Source organism: Homo sapiens, chromosome 22 (assembly GCF_000001405.40).
Source record: "Homo sapiens chromosome 22, GRCh38.p14 Primary Assembly".
NCBI classification, from domain to species: Eukaryota; Metazoa; Chordata; class Mammalia; order Primates; family Hominidae; genus Homo; species Homo sapiens.
The window spans coordinates 20,603,964-20,627,466 of NC_000022.11; the positions used below are offsets into that span (position 1 = coordinate 20,603,964).

General features: G+C 52.7%; 1 pseudogene, besides 1 other annotated feature; it reads right to left on the minus strand.

Moving 5' to 3' along the window:
* Window positions 932-22,222, minus strand: SMPD4P1 (sphingomyelin phosphodiesterase 4 pseudogene 1; annotated as a pseudogene).
* Window positions 6,440-7,038: an enhancer, noted in NCBI's record as "H3K4me1 hESC enhancer chr22:20964690-20965288 (GRCh37/hg19 assembly coordinates)". NCBI's record gives its function as "activates a minimal SCP1, AML or CMV promoter by ChIP-STARR-seq in naive H9 embryonic stem cells {active_cell/tissue: H9 hESC(naive)}" and the evidence as "EXISTENCE:reporter gene assay evidence [ECO:0000049][PMID:30033119]".

Genomic DNA, 23,503 nt, shown 5'->3' on the forward strand with positions numbered 1-23,503 from the left:
CTCACCCGCGATGCAGTCCGGAGCTGCTTCTTTCCATTCTCATCCTGGATGGTGTCCAAGGCAAGTGTGAGAGACTCTGCGTGAGCTGCACTTCACTGAGCTACCAGAGAGAGAGAAGCTCCTCTGCCCTCAGTGTCAAGGCAAAGGAACACCAGTCTTCACCCCACCAGCCTCTAACAGTGGCAACGAGAGCACCCGGACATGACACTCGGGGTGTGGGCCTGCCTCCCACAACACCGGGTTCATCTGCATGGGGCCTGGGACGGATGCATGCTGACCATGGGCAAAGGGGGAGTGGATCCTTCGGGGAAGGGGACCCTAACGGCCGTGGAACAGGCCCCATTGCTCATACTCGGAATATCTGGCGCAGGTACGCCAGGGCCTCCTCCAGGCACTCGTCCATCTTCTGGACGCTGTCCTGCCCCATCTCGCCCAGGTCATGGCTGAATAGGAGCCGTTGGTGTCTGTGGGGCCAAAGCCCAGCCACAACAGGAAGGAGTGGCCAGCTGGAGTCTCCACACACTGGTCCGAGATGGACCTGGCCGTGTGCTTGGCCTGCGTGATGAGCTGAGTAAGGTGCAGGACCTGCAAGGGAGGCGAGGGCAGGTCACCGGCAGGATACGCCTGTACTGCCACCCAGGCAGGCTGGCTGGGGGCCCTAAGATGGGTGCACAGCCAGATCACTGAGTGACGGGAGGAGCAGCTTCTGCTGGAGGACTTTTAAAGACTAAAGAATGATCTTCTAAATGTGAAATTTCCCAACACTGCCTTCGTTATCAGAAACAAATCAGACTTTACTGAAACGGGGAAAGGAGATGTGCGTCAACTCTCCGCCCAACCTCCCTCCCTCCCGCCAGAACACAGCACTTCCCTGCCTCTGCTCAGCCTTGTGGCTCCAGGGGTCCTGTGAAGGGGCACCGCCAACCCACTCACCAGGGTGTAAGCCTCGGGCCCGAACATCGGGTGTACTTGCAGTCCTGGCCCTCCAGGCCATAGATGTGACTCTTCACATTGAAGGAGGCATCAGTGACCACTGGTGGCCACTATGACAGGATGCTGCTGGCGAATGTGCAGGCTGTGAAGAGTCGGTGCTGGCGGTAGGGGGATGACGAGCTCCGGCTCCGGGAACAGCTGCTCGAACTGGAAGGCAGGAGACGAACCTAGCGCCCACTTCCGGGGGCACAGAGAACCTGGTTGCTGCCCACAGGTTTTCAGGATGCCTCCGAGGTATCTGGGGAGCCATGACCCAGGGGTGTCCTCCTGAGGTCCTGCCCAGCAGTGTCTCCCATGTAGCAGGTGGCCGACATGGGGAGGGCAAATGAGGGAGCTGGTGGCTCACAGAGCCCCCGACAGTGTCTGCAGGAGGGCAAACACCAGGAGGAGTGACAGAAGCCAATGTCCAACCCAGCCAAGACAAACGCATGCCAGAGACCAAGACCGCCTCCCAAGGATGCTGCCACGAGTTGCCAGGGAGAAACTGTGGTGCCATGGGCCCGCAGCTTGGTCTGTGCAGACCCCCTCTGTGGGTATACCTGCGGTCTTCCACCCAGTGCCTGGTGCCTGGTGGCTGCAGGGCAGGCAGGGTCCAGCCGGTCTCAGCCTTAACTGTGCAGTGTTATGGATGACAGCTCAGGAGACTGTTGGCAGGCAGGGAGGGCAGGACACAGGCAGGTGAGACCCAGGCCCTCTGAGGTTGCTGCATCCTTAGCAGGCCTGAGGCCCCTTTCCAAGAGGACTGAAGCCACCATGGCAGAGGCCAGCCCAGAGCCTGAGGGGGCTGAGGGAGGATCCCCCAGAGGGTCCAAAGGGGAAGGCCTCGGGCAAGGAAAGGAGAGGTCAGTGGCCACGCCAGGTGCCATGGAAGCCTGGGGGGGTCTGCTGTGAGGATCAAGCAGGAGATGAGGGGAAGGTGGCCACTGGTCTGCTCTGTGCTGGTAAGGAAGGGTTAAGGAACAGTTTGGGGGTCACCATGAAAATTTGTCTGGGCCAGAAGGGAGAGGGGACAGGTCACCCACTGCTTCCATGAGAAACCCATTCTAGGGCCTGGCGAAGTTGAGCCTAGGAAGGGCTGGTCTGTGCTCCACTCAGCAGCAGCTGGGAGAGGGCCAGGGCCAGGCTGACCCCAGCACAGGCCGCTGTCTTGGCCTCCACCCACTGGAGCAACATTTGCCCAGGGGAGCCAGTGGCATGTGAGGAGAGGGGGCCAGGGCTCACCATTTCTCAGACACACTGGGGCTGGGAGTTGCTGCTGGCAGCCTGCTTGTCAGCTGCATACCACCATGGCTGCAGGTAGCTCAGCCACACCTCCAGGACCTGTGGGGGAGGTGTGTGCTGAAGGCCCAGTGGCTGGGGCCAAATCCTCTGATGGCCTGGAACCCAGGTACCCAGGTGGCAGCTAAGTTGGCTCTTCCCACGTCCCCCAGAGGGCGCAGGAGAGACGCGCACAGCCCTGTGAGATTTGGTTCTCTCACTGCTCTTCAGAAGCCAGGGTCATGGGCGGGCTCTTCCCGGCCCACGGGACCCAGTGCTACCTGGTTGCGTAAGAGTAGAAACCTGTCTGGCACCAGACAGGTGGGATGGGGCAGGGCTTTGCTGTGCCTGAGGGTTGCCTTTGGAAACTGAAACAGAAAGAACAACGTGGCCCTCCAAGGCCCCCTCCTCTCCAAGGTCTCTGTGACAACACTTGTTCTCCTTCATCCACCCCAGGGGACCTCCCTCATTGGGGCACACAGAAGACACAGGCACACATGTGATGGGGCCGACACTCCTAGCTCTGAACAATGCGTCCAAGGGCCAGTGGCCAAAGCAATGCCGCAGGAAGAGGTAGAGTTTCTGCTGGACTAACCTCGGGACAGCGGCCTGCAGAGGAGGGGAGGGTCACCAGCCGCTTGCACAGTAAGGTGGCCCTGCTCACAGATGAGCCCGGGGTTCCCATTAGTGAGGGTTGGCTCTGCTGGGAGAGAGCACTAGGCACTTCTGAGTGGTAAGAGCTGGTTTCAGCCCCATTCTTCAGAGGAAGAAACCGAGGTTAGGGAGCATCCCGAGGACACAGCATGCAGGCGGCCAAGCCATTGCATCTCCTGCACACACCTCACCTCAGCCCCACACAAAACAGCCCACTCTGCCAGCCCCGATGGGCCTGGGAGTCAGGACCCGCCCCAACCCTTCTCCTGACGGGTGGGGAGGAGCAAGAGACGGCACCGTGATGGGGCCTTTTTGGCCAGTCTGGAGAGAGAGGCTCTGGGAGCCAGAGATCAGCCGGCAGCCCCACCAGGCTAGCTGAGAAGGCACTTGCGTAGCCCTCCAGAGGCCTCACGTGCTCTGTGAGCAGGAAGGGATTCCCCTCACCCTGCCCCCCATGCCCCGGGGAGAGGTCGCCGTGGGCAACACCGGAGGAGGGGAACGAGGAGGAGACAGCAGCGGCTGGAAGCCGCAAGGGCCACCCACTGTTTGAACTCCCCCAGCGGGCTGGTGGTGTGGGAGTGGACGAAAGGTGAGACCTGCTCTGGCTTCAGGCTGTCGGCAAAGGCGTGCAGGTGCTTCAGTGGCAGGCGCACCACCAGCATGTGCCCCTTGGTGGGCATGAACGACTCCTAGGTGGAGGAAGAGGAGTCAGGGCCTGGGAAGGGCTGCAGCACGTGGCCTCCAGGTCTGACCACAGCCCGCCCTGGGACAGCTGATCTGCCTCCACACAGGAGGCACGAGCCAGGCAAAGAGTGGGGCCACCACTGTGCCTCACACCCAGCGGGTGTGCCTTGCACTGCTTGGTCTGAACTGCGACCAGCTCGTGGTAGGGAAGTGCTTGGCCCAGCGCCCACACAGCCTACCTGGGGAGAACTCGCTGAGACAGACGCATCTGCTTCTGCACCGCTGCACACCCGCGGTGGGTGGCACAGGGCTATGGCCCGCCAGACTGTGCCCTTGGCCATTGCTGCCTATCTTGATCCTCATGGCAGGAGGAGGCCGATGTCACCCCCAAGCTCTGGATCCAGGGTCTCCCAGGGAAGATGGCTAAGGCCAGGAATTCGAGATTCGCTTGGGCAACATAGGGAGGCCCTGTCTCTACAAAAATTTTAAAAAGTTAGCTGGGCATGGTGGTGTGCACCTGTAGTCCTAGTGACTCAGGAGGCTAGGGTGGGAAGATCGCTTGAGCCCAGGTGTTCTTGGTGCAGTGAGCTAGGATCGTGCCACTGCACTCCAGCCTGGGTGACAGAGTAAGACCCTGTTCAAAAAATAAGAACCTTCACTTTTCTCCCCAATTCCTTCCATCTGCTCCTCATTCTGGACACAGCTGGATGAGGGCTCACCCTGGGAGAAGCGCTGGGCATCAATTCCTCTGTTGCCCACAGACCTGTGGTCAGGAAAACCCCAAGACAAGAGCACAGTCAAGCTAACAGGCCAAGCTTTTGATTTACAATGTACAAGCAGGATCCTGGAGACCTACACCCAAGAGGAAAGCCTTTTTGCTGGCTGTGGGCTTTCTCTGGTTGCTCAGCATTGAGAGGGCAGGGGGGAGCATCAAGAGTGGATGAGGGCAGGAGAAGGGGGCACTGAGGGTGGGCCCCTGAGTCCGAGTGGACATGCTCGCCTCTCCATGCTTACCCCCAGCCCTTTGGGCCTCAACACATCTGTGATGCTGAGACTGGTGCAGGGCCCGGCCTCTGGGTATATCCTGGGATGCTGCAGAACCCACATGGACCACTGCTCACATCACTGCCCACTCAAGTCTGCCCGTCAGGAAAATGTCCCCACAGGTCCAGGAGACACACCCCACAGATCAGTGGCTGAGGCTGGGAATGGAGGTATTTTCTTCTTCTTCTTTTTCTTTTTTTTTTTTTTTTTGAGACAGGGTCTCACTCTGTCACCCAGGCTGGAGTGCAGCAGCACAATGTCGGTTCACTGTAACCTCTGCCTCCTGGGCTCAAGGGATCCTCCCACCAAAGCCTCCCGAGTAGCGGAGACCAGAGGCACATACCAACATACCCAGATAATTTTTCTATTTTTTTGTAGAGGCAGGGGTCTCATCATGTTTCCCAGGCTGGTCTCAAACTCCTGAGCTCAAGCAATCTGCCTTCCTTGGCCTCCCAAAGTTCTGGGATTCCAAGTTTGAGCCACCGTACCTGGCTATTTTCTTCTATCTCTATCTTTAAGTATTTAGGCAATGAATTTGCATTGCTTTGGAAGGAAGGAGAAAACCAGTACCTATACGGCCCGACTAGAATGGTACTAGTGGGGTGGGAAGTTAGACCAGGGTCCTTCTCCTCCAGTCTCACCCCTGGCCCTCCCTCTGATCCTGGCCTGGGATCCTGAGCCATGACATCCTCCCTGCAGCTCACGGGAGGGGACAGCATCCACATAGGAACTGGGAACCTGCCTTCCCCTGCAGGTTCACTTACCCAACATCACCTGGTCCTTCCAGAGGGTCTGGAGGGGCCAGTGTCTGCCCCTGCCCCCAGCAGTCACATGAAAGCCTCTCAGGCTATTTTCCCACAGATTTGCTGAGCCAAACTTTTCCCTCAGCTCTGTACCCCTCCTGGGCCACATTCCCATGTGTAGTCCCTGGCCACAGTCACACCTGCTTGCTTCTCAAAGATGTGTACCCAAAGCCCCGCATTTCCCACTGGGCCCAGCCTCACAGCACCTCAGCTCACTCCTCCAGGGTCTCCCTGGTCACCTGTCCTGCCATGGGGGTTGCTAGATGCTTCCTGGACACTGCCCTGGCCCAAGCCCTCATGTCCCTCTTCTCCAGTGGCTCCTGCGGAACAGGGACGCCATCACATGCAGTGGTTGCCATCCCAACCCACCGGCACTTGGGGCCCACATGTTTTTTTCATCTTGCGCTCAAATTCCCATTCAATCACGTGTGCTCCTTCGCAGGGTGAACGGGACAGACCCCTGGCTGTGGGCACAGCTCGTCTCCCCGGGCTCTCACAGACTCACTAACTCTGTCGTCCCCGAAATCCCCCATGGGCCTGAACTCTGCTTCACTGACCTCAAATCCATCCATACGCTTGTCATTTGTGCCTAGGCAGACCACAACCTCTATGAGGTCACTACCTATTCTCATCCACCTCCACAGGTGTCTACGAGTGGCCAGGGCTCCCTAGGTGAAGGACTGACAGCCTCTGTGAGCTATAGGGCCAAGCCCCAGGTCCTCCCCAACCCCCTTGCCTCACACACAGTCTGGGTCATGGAACCTCCAAGCTGGATGACAGTTCTGAACAGGGCAGCACCCACATTACCGTAAGTCCCAGGCCTCTGTGTCTTCAGCTCCTTCCTTAGCACTGGGCCCTGCAGAGTGGGGGTGAACCGGGCCACTGCAGAGGCCTCACGACTCCAGCTCTTCAAACCAGGGCCGAGCACAGAGCCTCCAACACCAGAGAACTTGTGACACCTCCACCACTGGTGGGGAGTCTGGCCAGCCCAGGCCACATGCCTCATTCTGACACACAGCCACACCCCACTCCCACAAGCCAGGCTAGTCTGCAAAGCCAGGGGCCAGGCCAGGCTGGAGGCTGATCTCTGCCTCCCTCAACACAGGGGCTTCACTCTGCCTGAAACTAGCCTCTGAGTCACCTGCAGCTGGGCCCAGCCAGCCCCTTGCTTTGCCAGGCGCAGACACGCACTCCGGGCAGGGGAAGGGAATGAACGAGCACAGCCAGTACTTGGTAGGTGTGGAGGGCCTGGAGGTTGGGCTGCCGGGGGCTGTGGTGGGCACTGGAGACACAGAGTCGGTAGTGCAGCACCTCCAGCTGAGAGAGTGAACAGAGAGAAGCCGGAAGAGGCAGAAGAGAAAAGCATGAGAGGACAGGGTGGTGAAGGAGAGACATGGTACCGGACATGGGAGGGGGAAGTGGAGAAAGAAAGCAATGAGAACGAGCCCAGAAGTGAGGAGAAAAAAACAACAAAAGCATGGTCAGTGACCATCCAAACAACTGCAGTCCCAGCAGCTGTGACCAGCGCAGCACCCTCCTCGGCAGCCAGGCCAGAGCTGTGACAGCACTCTCCTCAGCCTTGGAGGCTGGGGGCGGATAGACCCTCCAGGTCACCTGGGTGGCCTCTCAATGTCGCTGGGGCCTAAAGGCCTCTCCAGCTCATTGGAAGGGCCCAACTCACTGCCCTTCCAGATGGGACCCGCTCTCCCCAGTGACTCTGAGGCCACACCGTGTGTGCCATGTGCACACCACAGCCCTTCAAGTACCCAGGGCCTTCTCTCTGGGACATGCTGTCAGCCACCAAGGCCTCAAGATCCTGAGGCCCAGAAAATAAACTGGCAAAGCATGTTCTAGGAGGAGGACTCTGCCTAGAGAAGACACATATGTAATTGACTGGATTTCCCTGGGTTGTTTTGAGAAATTTATCAAATTTGTATATGACATGATCAATTCCTATGTCTAAAACCCAATCAATGTCCCCTCCATGAGTGGATCTCTCTGAGAGCTGAGGATGAGGACAGGTCCCCAAGGGTAGCACAGGCTCAGGCCCCCAGGCCCTGCCCTCCGCACTCCCCCAGCCTGGAGGTCAGCCGAGGTGGTGTGTGCATCAGCTCTGACTCCAGGAGGCAACCTCTCCTACCGCATCAGGAACTCCCACCCTCCAGATATGGAGGGCTCCCAAGGGCAGGAGCCCCCGAGGACCTGGCCACAGCCACACACACCCAGAGGCAACAGGAAACTGAGGCTAAGCTGGCCCCCAGCCAGGACCCTCCAATCTACCACCCTGCAGCGCTGCAGCCTCCGAAGCACCCCTTCGGCCCAGCATAGCCAGAGCTGGCCTGGTGCATATCCTGCCCCGTGAGCGCCATGCCTCCTGCCCAAGTAGCACGACCACTGGGCTCCACACAGGAGACATCAGAACACACCTGCTAGATGTCACAACACGCAGAGCAGGGCGGGAAGGAGCAGGGCAGAGAGATGTTGCCCTTCACAGCCTTCCTCTGTGCCAGACCTAGGGCTCAGGCAGGAAACAGACACACAGTTCTCCAGTGCGTCTCTGCCCTTGCCTAAGGAACACGGTGGCTTGTGGGGCCATTGGCCATCTTTATGGCCCACGGGGCCACCAGGGAGCAAGCATGCACCTCGGATTCAACCAGGGTGTGGAGGGCAACCCTGGGAGCCTCACTTCCTGCATCTGAAAATAAGAGCTAGCAGAGACAGGCAGGGATTTCTGTATGGCAGGAGCAGCATAGGCCTGGGCAAGCGGCAAAGGGCCAGGGGCCTTGGGGGCCCCGACCTCCACAGCTGCCTTTCTCTGACCCCCACCCACCCAGTTTTCTCACGTTTTGTTTTTTGCCTCAACTGGAAGAGGCAAAAAGTGGAGCATCTCTGGGCACTTCGTCCCACCACTGCAAGTCATTCTGAGCAGGACTCACGCAACCCAAGGTCTGGCCAAGAGGAAGCGAACATTGAGAAGAGGGGAAAGGCACCTCCTGCCCTCTGCAGGGACGACGCCTTGCCAGTTCCCCTGACCCATGAGGACACAGAATCCTCACAGGTGACAGCCCAGAAGAGCCTTTCTGGCTTGCCCTTGAAAGTAGGTGTGTTTCCACTCACTCAGTAGGCAGAACCAGCAGATAGGAAGGTGACACAGTGCAGCGGCCCCTGCCCCTGCCAGGTCAAGCCACATGCAAGAGCGCTGAGCAAGTGTTCTAGGGCGCCAGGGAGAAGCGGGGCCCTAGGAACCAACCAGCCCCCCAGGCACCAGCCAGGCATATGCAGTAAGTCTGCTCTGGAAGCGGGAAGGGCACTGCAGGCTCTTTGTGACTCAGGAGGCCCAAGATGGGGTCCCCAACTTTTCCTTGTGCTCCTTCCAGGTGATGCTGAGGGTGAGGATTTGGGGGAACCTATGCTCTGAGAGAGCCTTCACATGGCAAAGCATGGGGCCACAGAACTGGCTGCAGAGGCTGTGGCAGAAACAGACCCACAGCTCTTCTCCAGAACCGGAGGAAAAGTGACAGGAGGCTCTTCTGAAGTTTAACTCCATCACCCACAGATCCTTCATTCTGGATGAAGCCTTCTGGAACTTTGTCAGCAATAAAGGCAAAGTCTCCCATGCATAGACGCCACGGGCACCGGACTACAGGATGTGTGCCCAGGGCATGCTGCCTAGAGAGAGAGTGGGGAGAGGCGAGGCGGAGGGGGAGGAAGCAGGCCAGGCTGCTTGTAGGAGGGCGCCAGGCCCCACACACCATGAGTATGGCGGCTTGCTCATGCTCTGGAGGAGGTGGGGGAGTGGGGGGCAGACAAAGGAGGCTAACTATGGTGCCACTATGGTGGGCATGGGTCTGCCCTGGGCCATCACTTCATGGGAAAGCACAAAGGCACTGCTGATGGTGGAGGAGACAGACGAGAACGCGGCTCCCAGAGGCATTGCAGCTCCCCCACCCCCACAGCAAAAGTGCCACAACCTCATCTGTTCCTGTTGCCAGGGAGGGGGCTCCGGAAGCTGCACAGGAAAGGCCCTGGAGAGGCCAGACCTCCAGGCCTCAGTGTCCACATATCAGGGTGCAATGCCACCTGCTCCTCATCGGGAACTAGAGAACTATGCCCACTTCTTATTCAGCTTCTGAATGAAGGGTGGGTGGTGGATTTCTGCTTCCCACCATCCGGTCTGTGAAAACTCACTCAAATGCAGGATAAGAAGCAGCAGGCTGAGCATGGTCAGAAGCAGGAGGTGGGAAGAAAAACTATGGAAACCTACCTTGGCATGAGGGGAACTGCATTTTTTGGTACATCTCCAGAGAATAGTGTTGAAGCCACATTTCGACAAAAACCTGCAAAAGAGCATTACGTAGTCAAATCATTCTCGATAACTGCCAAGACCATTCAGTGGGGAAAGGACAGTGTCTCCCATAAGCAGAGCTGGGAACACAGAACACCCTCATGCAGAACAGTGAAGCTGGGCCCTGCCCTCACACCATCGACAAAAACTAACTCAAAGTGGGTAAGCGGCCTGAGGATAAGAACTAAGACCATAAACTTACAGAAGAAAACATGGGAGAAAGCTTCATAACACTGGATTTGGCAATGATTTATTAGATATGATGCCCAAATCACAAGCAACAAGCAAAAAAATACAGCATCAAAAGATACTACTGATAGAGTGAAAAGAACCAGCGGGCATGATGGCTCAGGCCTGTCATCCCAGTGCTTTGGGAGGCCGAGGCAGGTGGATGGCTTGAGGCCGGGAGTTCAAGACCAGCCTGGGCAACATAGCAAAAAGTTGTCTCCACAAAAAGCACAAAAATTTGCTGGGTGTGGTGGGGCACAGCCATAGTCCCAGCTACTGGGAGTCTGAGGTGGGAGGATCGCCTGAGCCCAGGAATTTGAGCTGTAGTGAGCCAAGATCATGCCACTGCACTCCAGCCTGGGAAACAGAGCGAGACCCTGTCTCAAAATAAATAAATAAATAAATAATAAAATAAAAATAGAAGCAACTCCAGTGTTCACTGAGAGATGAATAGATAAACACAACATGGTACATCCGCACAAGGGAACACTATGCAGCCTTAAAAAGGAAGCAAATTCTGACACATGCTGTAACATGGATTAATCTCGAATCCATTATGCTAAGTGAAGCATGCCAGTCACACACAAAGAAGTACTGTGTGCTACAGAAAAATGCTTTAGATATGAGATCTAGGAGTCAAACATATAGAAACAGAAAGCAGAATAGTGGTTGCTAGGGGCTGCGTGGGGAATTAATTGTTCAGTTTCTTTTTTTTTATTAAAAGAGATGGGGAGCCAGGCATGGTGGCTCATGCCTGTAATCCCAGCACTTTGGGAGGCCGAGGCGGGTGCATCATGAAGTCAGAAATTCAAGACCAGCCTGGCCAAGATGGTGAAACCCCGTCTTTACTAAAAATATAAAAATTAGCTAGGCACCGTGGCAGGTGCCTGTAATCCCAGCTACTCAAGAGGCTGAGGCAGGAGAATCACTTGAACCCGGGAGGCAGGGATTGCAGTGAGCTGAGATCGCACCACTGCACTCCAGCCTAAGCGACAGAGTGAGACTCTGTCTCAAAAAAAAAAAAAAAAAAAAAAAAAAAAGAGAGAGAGAGACGGGGTGTCACTATGTTGGCGAGGCTGGTCTCAAACTCCTGGCCTCAAGCAATCTTTCCCACCTTGGTCTCCCAAAGTGCTAGGATTACAGGAGTGAGCTCTCATGCCTGGTCGGTTCAGTTTCAGTTTTGCAAGATTCTGGAGATTGGAAAGGAAGCAAATTCTGACACATGCTGTAACACGGATTAATCTTGAATCCATTATGCTAACTGAAGCATGCCAGTCACACACAAAGAAGTACTGTGTGCTACAGATAACAACAACGTGAATGTATTTAATACTACTGGCTGTACACTTGGAAATGGTTAAGACAGTAAATTTTATGTTATGTATATTTTACAATTACAGTTTTTTTCTTAATTAAAAAAACGAAAAGCATTAATGCTTTGGTCCAGGAAACAGCAGAACCTTCCAGTTCTGTCCTGTTGTAAGCTTGTGTCATGGTCTCCTGCCCTCTTCACAGCCAGCACATCCCATGGTCCACACAGCCAAGAGCCATCTGGGTATCATGGTCCCCTCTGGGGACCATGCCCCTCCCAGGGACAATGGTCCCTATCATTCTAGCACCCGAGGTTGTTGTGAAATGGTGTGGAGGCTTCAAAAAGCACGGCACCCCACATATTAGGAGTTATGTACAAGGTCGGAGACAGAATCCTATCTTATCTACTTCCCAGGTGTCAACGGCGAGGCTGTGGCTACCAAGTCAGTCCTAGGATCCAGTGTCAGGAGCAGCACCTGCCAAATCTCTCCAAGTTATGCTCAGAAGACACAGCCAGGACCTGGTGGATAGCACTCAGGGAGTGAGCCAGTCCACACCATCGTGAGAGGCTGGAGCCCCCCAGGACAGACAAGGGACTCTGTCACCTACTATTTGGATCCCCTGAATCAACAGAAGGCCTGTGGAGGCTGCACAAACCCCTCACCATTCCGTGTCACAAAAGTGCTACTGGGGCAACGCTTAATATCCACATGATGGTAATCATAGGAAGCATCTCCAGCAACACGAGAGACGGACACCAAGAGACCGCAACAATTATATCACAATGGGCAAATGAAACGACTCCGATGGACAGGGGATCCTGGGATGAAAAACACCATGAATGACAAGTAAGTTAGGTGGGTGGGCAGACTTATATTCATGTTTTCTAAATGTCATACCAGGAAAATGCCAACAATTTAGAATCAGCCCTGGGCTAAGCGGCCGCCTCTGGGACTCTGACCCATATAGTGGAAGATGGCTGACCAGTTTCTTTTGAAACAGACGTTGAGACCAGCTCAGCTCTCACCCGGAGCAGAGTTTCTGACCTCCAGATCTCCTGGGAGGCGGGGTCTGCATTCACAGACATCTGATGAGAGAAGTGTCGCTTCAGGGGGCTAGTGTGCTGGAGGCTACAGGAAGCAAAGGGCATGGCTGGTGTCCTGAGGGAGACACGGAAACAGGCCCAAGGTAGGAGCTCCTGCTGGCCAGGCCAGGGGCGATCTGGACATCAAAATCAATGACAGCAGGGACGTATTACAACTTGTTCAATTGCACAATGCACAAACCTCACCCCTGCCCCAAATCCACACTGATACACCTGAATAAACAAATAGCAAAGAGAAAAGTCTTCCTTCCCGCAGAGCGACCACTGACCCAATACAGGAAGAATGAAGTTAGGGAACCACCACTTGGCAACTGCCCTATTAATAGCTTATTTGGTCAAGAATCAAGTGAGGCCAGGCATGGGACCTGCGTGAGACGCCTGAAATCTCAGCACTTTGGGAAACCAAGGCAGGAGGATCTCTTGAGGCCAGGCACTTGAGACCAGCCTGGGCAACACAGTGAGACCCCGTCTCTACAAAAACATTAAAACATGAAATAGCTGGGCACGGTGGGGTGTGCCTGTAGTCCTAACTACTTAGAAGGCTGAGAAGGGAAAATGGCTCCCTCCTTGGGCCTAGGAGTTGAGGCTGCAGTGACCTATGATGGCACCAACTGCACTCCAGCCTGGGGTGACAGAGCGAGACTCTGTTTCTAAAAAAAATAAGATGTCCAGCTTGGGCAACATGGGCAAAACCCATCTCTATTAAAAAAAAAAAAAAGCATTCAGATGTGGTGATGCATGCCTGTAGTCCCAGATACTTGGGAGGCTGAGGCAGGAGGATCACTTGAGCCTAAGAGATTGAGGCTGCCGTGAGCCTAGATCATGCCACTGTACTTCAGCCTGGGGTGAGAGAACAAGATCCTGTCTTAAAGTAAAATAAAATCAATTTGAAAAAAGGAAAGAATCGACTTCTCTGTGTATGGAGTAGCCCTTCTTCTATTCCTTTACTTTCTTAATAAACTTGCTTTCACTTAAAAAAAAAGAGAAAAGAATCAACAGTTGATGTTAATACTAGTGATAATACATAGTCTCTATACATCTTCCCGGTAAATCATCATTACCAATTTTTCTTTTTTTTGAGACAGGGTCTCATTCTGTTGCCTGGGCTGGAGTGCAGTGCTGTGATCACAGCTCACTGCAACCTCAACCTCCTAGACCCGGGCCTCCCAAGTAGCTGGGACCACAGTGCACACCACCATGCCTGCATGCCTGGCTAATGTTTTTCTTTCTTTGTTTTTTGTTTTTGTTTTTTTTTTGAGACAGACTCTCACTCTGTTACCAGGCTGGAGTGCAGTGGCTCCATCTCGGCTTACTGCAATCTCTGCCTCCCAAGTTCAAGCGATTCTCCTGCCTCAGCCTCGTTAGTAGCTGGGACTACAGGCATGCACCACCACGCCTGGCTAATTTTTTGTATTTTTAGTAGAGACGGGGTGTCACCATGTTTCTCAGCCTGGTCTTGAACTCCTGACCTCATGATCTGCCCGCCTCTGCCTCCTAAAGTGCTGGGATTACAGGCGTGCACCACCACACCCAGCTAATTTTTGTATTTTTAGTAGAGATGGGGTTTCACCGTGTTGACCAGGATGGTCTCGATCTCCTGACATCGTGATATGCCTGCCTTGGCCTCCCAAAGTGCTGGGATTACAGGCATGAGCCATTGTGCCTGGCCAATATTTTTCTTTTTAGTACAAACAAGGTCTTGCTATGTTGTCCAGGCACTCATTACTAATTTTTTTTTTTTTGAGATGGGCTCTCACTCTGTAGCCCAGGCTGGAGTGCAACAGCATGATCTTGGCTCAATGCAACCTCTGCCTCCTGGGCTTGAGTGATCCCCCCACCTCAGCCTCTAAGTAGCTGGGATTACAGGCGCATGCCACCACGCCAGGCTAATTTTAAAATTTTTGGTAGAGATAGGATTTTGCTATGTTGCCCAGGCTGGTCTCAAACTCCTGAGCTCAGGTGATCCACCCACCTTGGCCTCCCTAAGTGCTGGGATTCCAGGCGTGAACCACTGCACTCAGCCTCATTACTATTTAATCTGGGCACGAAGTACTTATTTTACAGTGGACAAACCTGGCCGACACCCTTTCCACCCAGTGATAAAGCTAGCATCACCAGTGATGGGGCAAAGGGGCACTGCAGGCCTCCTGATGAGACACCTGGCAAGGACCAGGTGTCCCCGCTGCAGTGCTCCTGCCAACAAAGCCCAAGCTATGCCTAATCACCAGCAAATACAAGACAGCCCAAGGGGTGGCCACATGCTTTGGAGGGGTCAAGGTCAGGAAAGACAGACAGGCTGCAGAACCATTCCGGACTGAAGGGGACTAGAAACATCACTGCATGCAGTGGGTGAGCCTGTGCTGAAACCCAGCCAGGTAACGGGCATGAGTGGGGTAGCTGGTGGTGAACCCCGAGGTCTGATGACTAGGTGTAGCCTGGTGGCAATACTAACTTCCTGGTGTGGTGGCATGTGCTGGCTTGCACATGCCAGCAGATCTGGGGTGGGCCAGCATCTGCAGAAACGGGCCTGTATGCAGCCTCCTGGGGAAGGCAATGGGGCAGCAAGATTAAGGAGGGTCAGAGGAGCACACGCACTGTGACTATATAAGATAATGCATTCACTTTTAGGAAATACACTGACATATTAAGAGGCCAAGGGGTGTCCTACCTGTAGTTTATTCTTATTGGCTTAGGGGAGAAAAAACATATCATAGAAAGGGGATAAAGCAGATGCAGCAAAGTGTTAATTTGGAAATCTGGATGAAGGGTCTATGAACTTTTTTTTTTTTTCTGAAACAGGGTCTTCTTGTGTCACCCCAGGCTAGAGTGCAGTGGCGCAATCATAGCTAACTATAGCCTTGAAGAGTGCACAAGAGATCCTCCCACCTCAGTCTCCTGAGTAGCTTGGTCCACAGTTGCACGTCACCATACTCAGCTGATTTTATTTTTTGTAGAAATGAGGTCTCCCTATGTTGCCCACACTGGTCTCAAATTCCTGGCCTCAAGTGATCTTTCTGCCTTGGCCTCCCTAAGTGTTGGGATTACAGGAGTAAGCCACCATGCCCAGTCTGCAAGTTCTTTTTATTATGCGTGGAAACTTTTCTGTAAGTCTGAAGTTATTTCAAAATAAAAAGTTAGCTAGGTGTGGTGGCCTGCGCCTGTAATCCCAGCTACTTGGGAAGCTGAGGCAGGTTCACCCTCCCAATCCGTGCAGTATGGCATCAGGCTCAGCCTGTTTGGTCTGGCACAACAGGCTCTTTGGCCCAGGGCCTCCCCCTCTCAAGACCTGCTCCTGGGGCCAATAAAGGATTGTGGAAGCTAGGAGTTCAAGACCCACCAGGGCAACACAGCAAGCCTCCCCTGTCATATCTCTACAAAAAAAAAATGTTTTAAAATTATCTGGCTGTGGTGATGCGTGCCTGTAGTCACTGAGGTGAGAGGATGACTTGAGCCCAGGAATTTAAGGCTGCAGTGAGTGACGACTGTGCCGCTGCACTCCAGCCTGTGTGACAGAGTAAGACCCTGTCTTTAAAAAGACATAATGACTGAATGTGGTGGCTCATGCCTGCAATCCCTGCACCTTGGGAGGCTGAGGCAGGAGGATCATTTGAGCCCAGGAGTTCTAGACCAGCCTGGGCAACATAGCGAGACCCATCTTACAAAAAATACAAGCTGGATGTGGTGTTGCACACCTGTAATCCCAGCTACTCAGGAGACTGAGACAGGAACATCACTTGAACCTGGGAGGTGGAGGTTGCAGTGAGCTGTGATCACAATACTGCCCTCCAGCCTGGGCAATTGAGCAAGACTCTGTTTCCAATATATATATGTGTGTGTATATATACACATATATATATTATACACACACATATATATAACATAAATGTGTATATATACACACATTATATATATATAATTTCTAAAAGAAAAAATTAAATTACAAAAAAACTCAAAAGCTGGGCATAAAAACCACTTGGCAACTGAATTGTACATCTGAGAGGGTGTGAATCCACCTCACCTCCAAGTCCTCCACAGCATCAGCAACATTTCAGGGTCACTGACCACTGCCGCCACCCAGGCAGCCTCTCCTCCTTGCTGCTCCCTTTCTCCCCTCCACCCTCTGGGGCATCTGTCCACACATGTGAATTGTAGGTAGAGGCCTGTCCTGGCTTGCACATGCCAGCAGATCTGGGGTGGGCCAGCATCTGCAGGAAGGGGCCTGCACGCAGCCTCCCAGGGAAGGCGATGGGGCAGCAAGATTAAGGAGGGTCAGAGGAGCACAGGCAGCTGCTGCCTGTGCAGAGGGTCTCCTGGGAGGTCCCCAGAGGGTCTCCTGGGAAGTCAGCCAAGAGGCCCTGGGTTAGGGCCCACTGAGACCCCAGCACAGCTAGGCACAAGAGCCCCTGGTTCACACTTCCCACCTGTGCAGTCACCAACAGGCTCAGCTTGTTTGGACTGACACACAGGCTCTTTGGCCCAGGGCCTCCCCTTCAAGACCTGGTCCTGGGGCCCAGAGAGATTTCCATTTTTTTTTCCCCCATAGAACAAGCCTTCTGCCATGCTCACCACCTCAGACACTGCATGTGGGGAGGGCTGCTTCATGCAGAACACAGCCCATTCCCATGCAGGCCGTGGAGGCCTCCAGAGACCTGATAGCTTCAGTGATGGCCACAGACATCGAAAACTAAAGGACAGATCACCCTCCTCACCCCCACCCTCCAGTCTGTGCTAAGAAAGCTGGAGGTGGGGAATGAGGCATAAGACAAATTTGGGAACCCTGGACAAAGGGTGGCACCATTGTCCTGGTGGGTGATTCAACTGACCAGGCCACTCCCTTATGGAAGGGCCAGGTCTTCACAATCAGGGTAGCCTTACCTGGGAGCAGGTGAGGGACTGGCCCATCCTGGGCTGGAGGACAGTGAGGGTGGTGGCAGGCTGCCTTTGGTGGGCAGGAACCATGACAGGTACCTGTCCACCAGGAGGAAATAGGTACAGTCTGAAATATGGACATGGAGAGACACAGGGAGTGGCTGGAAAACCAAGCTAGTTCTTAGCATGGGGTCTGGGCACTGCCTGGCCCCAGAGCACTGGCAAGTGCAGGGAAGCCCCGGGCCATGCCCCCACCCCTCCCAGCAAGAGGCATCCCTTCCCTACCTTTAGTGTGTTGAGGCTCAAGGCAAAGAAGCATATGTAATACTCGAACGGATCTGATGGCAGCGTCAAGGGCAAATACACAGGGTTGCTGGGAAACCCCCAGTGTTGAGAGCTGAGCCACCCACAACCTTCCTACCTCAAGGCCACCAAAGGATACTCAAGGCCAGGTTCAGGCCAAGGCCCTTAGTTGGGCGGAACTGGATCTTGTGTTACAGAGGACTGTCAAGGACGCACTCCTGGATGGATGCCTTCACGAGACCCTGCAGAGAGAGGCAGCAAGGCTTGTGGGCAGGCACTGGCGTGTAGTGCCCGGTACGCAGTGCCCCACATGCACAGCAGCCCTTTGGGAAAGCTGCTGGGGAAGAGACCCGCACACAGAACTCACCTGTGGGGACAGTGCCCTGCTCCTGAGCAGTGCCTCAACAAGAGTCTTTGCTCAGAACTTCCACCATCTCATAAAAAGCTGCAGACAGGCCAGGTATGGTGGCTCACGCCTGTAATCCCAGCACTTTGGGAGGCCGAGGTGGGCAGATCACAAGGTCAGGAGTTCCAGACCAACTTGGCCAATATAGTGAAACCCCATCTCTACTAAAAAAAAAATACAAAAATTAGCCGGGCATGGTGGCATGCATCTGTAGTCCCAGTTACTTGGGAGGCTGAGGCTGAAGAATTGCTTGAACCCAGGAGGCGGAGGTTGTGGTGAGCCGAGATCGTGCCACTGCACTCCAGCCTGGCAACAGAGTGAGACTTTGCCTAAAAAAAAAAAAAAGCTGCAGATGGCAAGGGTAGCAGCCATGCAATACCCATCTCCTTTGCCTCTCATACCCCCGGAGCAAATCACTCCTTAATTTGCCCTCAGAGGACCGGAGGAGACTGCCCGTCACCACTGGGCTGTGCAAGGTCCACTGCCCGAGCACCACTCTCACCACTGTGGTTTACTTATGGGCAGGTAGGAGATGGGAAAGTCAAACTTAAGTCTTCAGCTTGAAGCTTATAAACCAACTTCATCATTGGGCCGCTGAACATGAAATTGAACAAACAAAAACAGGGTATATGAACTGCAAATTATCTTGCTTTGATTGTATCTTAACCTTAAGAAATTGAGAGTGACTTAAAAGTGGAATCACCATGAGGAAGCACCCTGCCTCTCTCGGGTGTCAAACCTACCTTCCCAGGGTCGAGAAATTCCATCACCATGCTGTACTTCACAGGATTCACGCGCCTCTGTAAGCAGCGCAGGTTCCAGCCCACAAGGACACCATCCAGGCTGCCGAAAATGCTACCAGCCATGGGGAGATGGCGTGCAGCTCCTGAAACAGTGTGCGGTGAGGCTGCAGGCAGGACCAGCACCCACTCCTGCCCCAGCTCCAGGCCTGCACCACCTGCTGCCCAGCTCCCTCTGAGGAGGCCACTCCCTGGCTGAGACCCATGGGATCAGCCCTGCGCTCAAAGGAACCCTGGTGCGGTGATGCCAATGAGAAGAGCAGCTTTGGGTTCTTTCACTGGGGTACGTGGCTTACCAAGCAGTGCTGCTTTAGACGTGGGCCAGTTAAGTAAGTCAGCCTCTGATCAAAATACATTTTTTGTGTGTGATAAAAGCCTAAATTAAGGGAAAAAAAAAACAAAAAAATGAAAAAATGAAAAATAAAATAAAATAAACAAAATACCTATTCTTTTGAGACAGGGTCTCATTCTGTTGCCCTGTCTGGAGTACACTGGCGCAATGCACAGCTCACTGCAGCCTTGGCCTCCTGGCCTCAAGCAATCCTCCTGCCTTAGCCTCCTGAGTAGCTGGGACTGTGGGCACACACCACCACGCTCAGCTAATTTTTAGATTTCTTGTAGAGATAGGGTCCCAGTATGTTGCCCAGACTGGTCTCAAACTCCTGGCCTTAAGTGATCCTCCCACCTCAGCCTCCCAAAGTGTTGAGATTACAGGCATGAGCCACCACACCAAAAGATTTTTTTTTTAATGTCAGAAACTTCTGATGGATGCGAAGGATGCTCTATTAGAAAGGAAAGCAACACCCTTCCCAGAGTGAAGCCCTTAAAATCTAACTGACCTGTTGTCATTTGGTATTAACTCCTTGTCTAGGCCAGCTTCCTGGGCTTGACAATTCCAGGTGTGATTTAAATACATATTTTTAGCATTTACATCAGGGTTCCTCAACGTTGATGCTATTGACATTTTGGGCTGGATTCTTCTTTGTTGCAGGGAGCTGTCCTGTGCTTTGCAGGATGTTTCCAGCATCCCTGGCCCCTACTTACTAGATGCCAGTAGCACACACTCCCCATCACCCCCAGTTGTGATAATCAAAAATGTCTCTGATATTGCCAAGTGTCCCCTGAGGGACAGAGCACCTGTGGTTAAGAACTCCTGATCTGCAAGTTCACATATTTAAATGTGTCCATAAACATGACGGTCATGATAATGGGCCAGGACTCTGTGCCAGGCAGTGCTTGGAGTGGGGGTGGTGGGGGGAATTAGGAATTATAATAAAGTTTTTAAAGGAATGTGTAAGACATGCTCCAAAGAGAGATGTCAGCAGAGCTATACCTCTGCTGGAAAATCCTCAATGACTTTAACCAAGTCTTGGCATCACTGTGCAAAGGGCTTATTTACAGAGTCAGCTTTCAGGGTAGCCTAGAAGGTAGAACAAAGTGAAAAAATCATGAGGACATTCACTGCAGCTTTTAGTGATACTCTGGCTTGAGTCAAACAGAAATCCAAGTGATAGGTTATGAGTCAGACACATAACCACTGGCGTGATTCCCCAGCCCCTCATGTGTGTCAGTGGCCCAAAGGATGCTACTAGGAGAGGCTGTGGTTCTATGCACTCTGGACCAGGAACTCTCAGGCTTGCTTCCCAGTACCAACTCAGCGTGCTGCTCATCATCAGAACAGGACTGACTTCCACCAATCCATAAGTAGGGGTTGGCCCCAGGGTCAGCCCCAGAGCCAGAAGAGGATCTCGATTGTGTAAGGGCACCTCTCACAGACCACAGAGTACTACTGAGTTCGTACGCATCAAATGGAAATTTCCCACCTGATGGACCATCATGATTACACAGTTGTGATCATCAGTAAGAATGCCCAACAAAATCAGGGCTACAGCATCCTCTCTTAACTGAGCTGTCTTTTATTCAGCAGACAGTGAACCTACTAAACCAATGACCTTAAAACACAGGGCAGGGCCGGGCGTGGTGGCTCACGCCTGTAATCCCAGCACTTTGGGAGGCCAAAGTGGGCAAATCACAAGGTCAGGAGTTCAAGACTAGCCTGGCCAAAATGGTGAAACCTTGTCTCTATTAAAAAAACACAAAAAAATTAGCCGGGCTTGGTGGTGCATGCCTGTAATTCCAGCTACTCTGGAGGCTGAGGCAGGAGAATCGCTTGAACCTGAGAGGCAGAGGTTGCAGTGAACTGAGATCGCACCACTGCACTCCAGCCTGGGCGACAGAGAGAAACTCCGTCTCAAAAAAAAAAAAAATAAAACAAAGCAAAACAACAACAACAAAACACACACACACACACACAAGGCAGGTAAAAATTATAGATGGCTTGCACCAAGTAAACACTAAACATAAAGGCAATGGAGAGGCCAGAAAAGACTCAGGACAAGGACTAATAAAATCTACCCACAGTCGTGGGATATACGGAAAGCATCCTGACTACAAGGATAAAAATAGCGTCTGTGCAAATGGACTCACATCAGGAGAAACTGCTAGAATCTGTCTACCTCCAAATGCCTTGTCTACCTCCAAATGAGGGTGGATTTCACAGGATTTGAGACAAGAGATGGAGACCTGAGTTGTCTGGCCATGTGGCAGACCTGGTGGCTCTAGTGGGGTGCCCTGGGGAGGAACGTCCTTCCACATACATATTTACAAAAATACCTCCTAAGAACTAAAATTAGGAACTTTCATCACCAATACTTGCTCATACCTAACTTCTCGCTTCTCAGTATCATTTTTTCTTTTTTTTTTTTTTGAGTCTTACTGTGTTGCTCAGGCTGGTCTTAAAACTCCTGGGCTCAAGTAATCCTCCTTCCTCGGTGTCCTTAGTAGTTAGAACTACAGATACGGACCATTACACCCAGTTCTCAGCACCATGTTTAATAGTTAAAGTGCTAACCTAGCACCCCCTCAGAACATAAGAGTGTCTCCATTTTTCACTAATGACAATTATGATTATCAGAATGTTTCATGTCTGTTTAAGAACTTACAGATCATGAACACTCTGATGTACATCATTCTCATTTGCTCCTCCCCCTCCTCCTCCTCATACCCCCTTGGGAAGTAGAGAAAATAGAACTTGAATGAATTTGTCTTGTATGGGAAAACCCAGAGCCCAGAGCCCAGCGGTTGAGTAACCCCAAGGCCCTGTAGTAATAAGGGGGCACAGTCAAGCTTAAGGAGTCTGGCATTGCTTCCATCACACGCTCCTAAAAGACAACCACTAGAGAATTCTTCAAGTCAATGGGAAGAACATTCAAGTCCCACAGCTACAGAGCTGTGGCCACACTGACACTCATCCAGACAGCTGATATTTACCAGTAGAAAGCTGGGCCGCTGCAGGTGAGGGAACGCCATAAAAGCCTCCAGTGGAGAGTTGAAAATGGCCTTCTTAGCAAACCACTGTGGAAAAACAGAGACAAAATCTCAACATCTGCAGCACAGCAGAATCTTTTTATTTTTCTAGAGACAGGGTCTCATTCTGTTGCCCAGGAGAGAATGCAATAGCACGATCATAGCTCACTGCAACCTCAAACTCCTGGGTTCAAGCAATCCTTCCCCCTGAGCCTCCTGAGTAGCTGGAACTACAGGCACACACCACCATGCCTGGCTAATTTTCTTCTTATTTTCTTTTTTGTAGAGACAGGGTCTCGCTATGTTGCCCAGGCTAGTTTCAAATTCCTGGCCTCCACTGGCCCTCCTGCCTTGGCCTCTTAAGTGCTGGGATTACAGGTGTAAACCACTGCACCTGGCCCTAACAAAATATTACATAGTTTCACAATGCCCAGGAGAACATTTGTGTAACTCAACATGCATTACATTATCGATTCTCATGTCTTCTTTATTTATTTGTAGAGACAGGGTCTTGCTTTCCCACTCAGGCTGGAGTGCAGTGGTATGATCATAGCTCACTGCAACCTCAGACTCCTAAGCTCAAGCGATCCTCCTGCTTCAGCCTCCCAAATAGCTGGGACTACAGGCACACACCACCAGGCCCTGCTAATTTTTATATTTGTTGTAGAGATGTGGTTACATCATGTTGCCCAGGCTGGTCTTCAGCTCCAGGGCTCAAGTGATCTACTTGCCTCAGCCTCCCAAAGTACTGGGATTACAGGCGTGAGCCACCACGCCCGGCCAGCAATTCCCACATTTTACAGAAACACCATTCGCATGCAGCCCACAGTGGCCAGCTTCAGAGCCAAGTCTGTGGTACTGAATCCTTGGTAATGCTTGTACAGCACTTGCTGTATGCCAGGACTTGCTCTATACACCACACACACTGTCAGTCCCCAGGAGGGGAATGTGGTATGTGATGCTTCATAAACACATTGAACTCTTTCTGCCAAGGAACAGCCATTAACACCTTGGGGTTACTTGCAACTCACCTGTGGACTGTTGGTCTGAGCTATTGTCCATCACTTGCAACTCAGTGTACACAGGTTCATCAGAGCTGGTCCCAAAAGCAAGTCCAAGCGCTGGAGAGCATGAGTGGGAAATCTCACTTCCACCTCGGATGGAGAAAAACTTCAGCAAGATTGTCATTTTATCTTTCCGACCCAGATGGACTCCATCTTGACTCAAAGACAACCAGAACATCACCAAGCATCTCCTACAGGGCAGGCTTGGTACTAGGTGGTTTTATTTAGATTATTTCATGGAATGTTCAGGAGAATTGCTCCCTCTTCACTC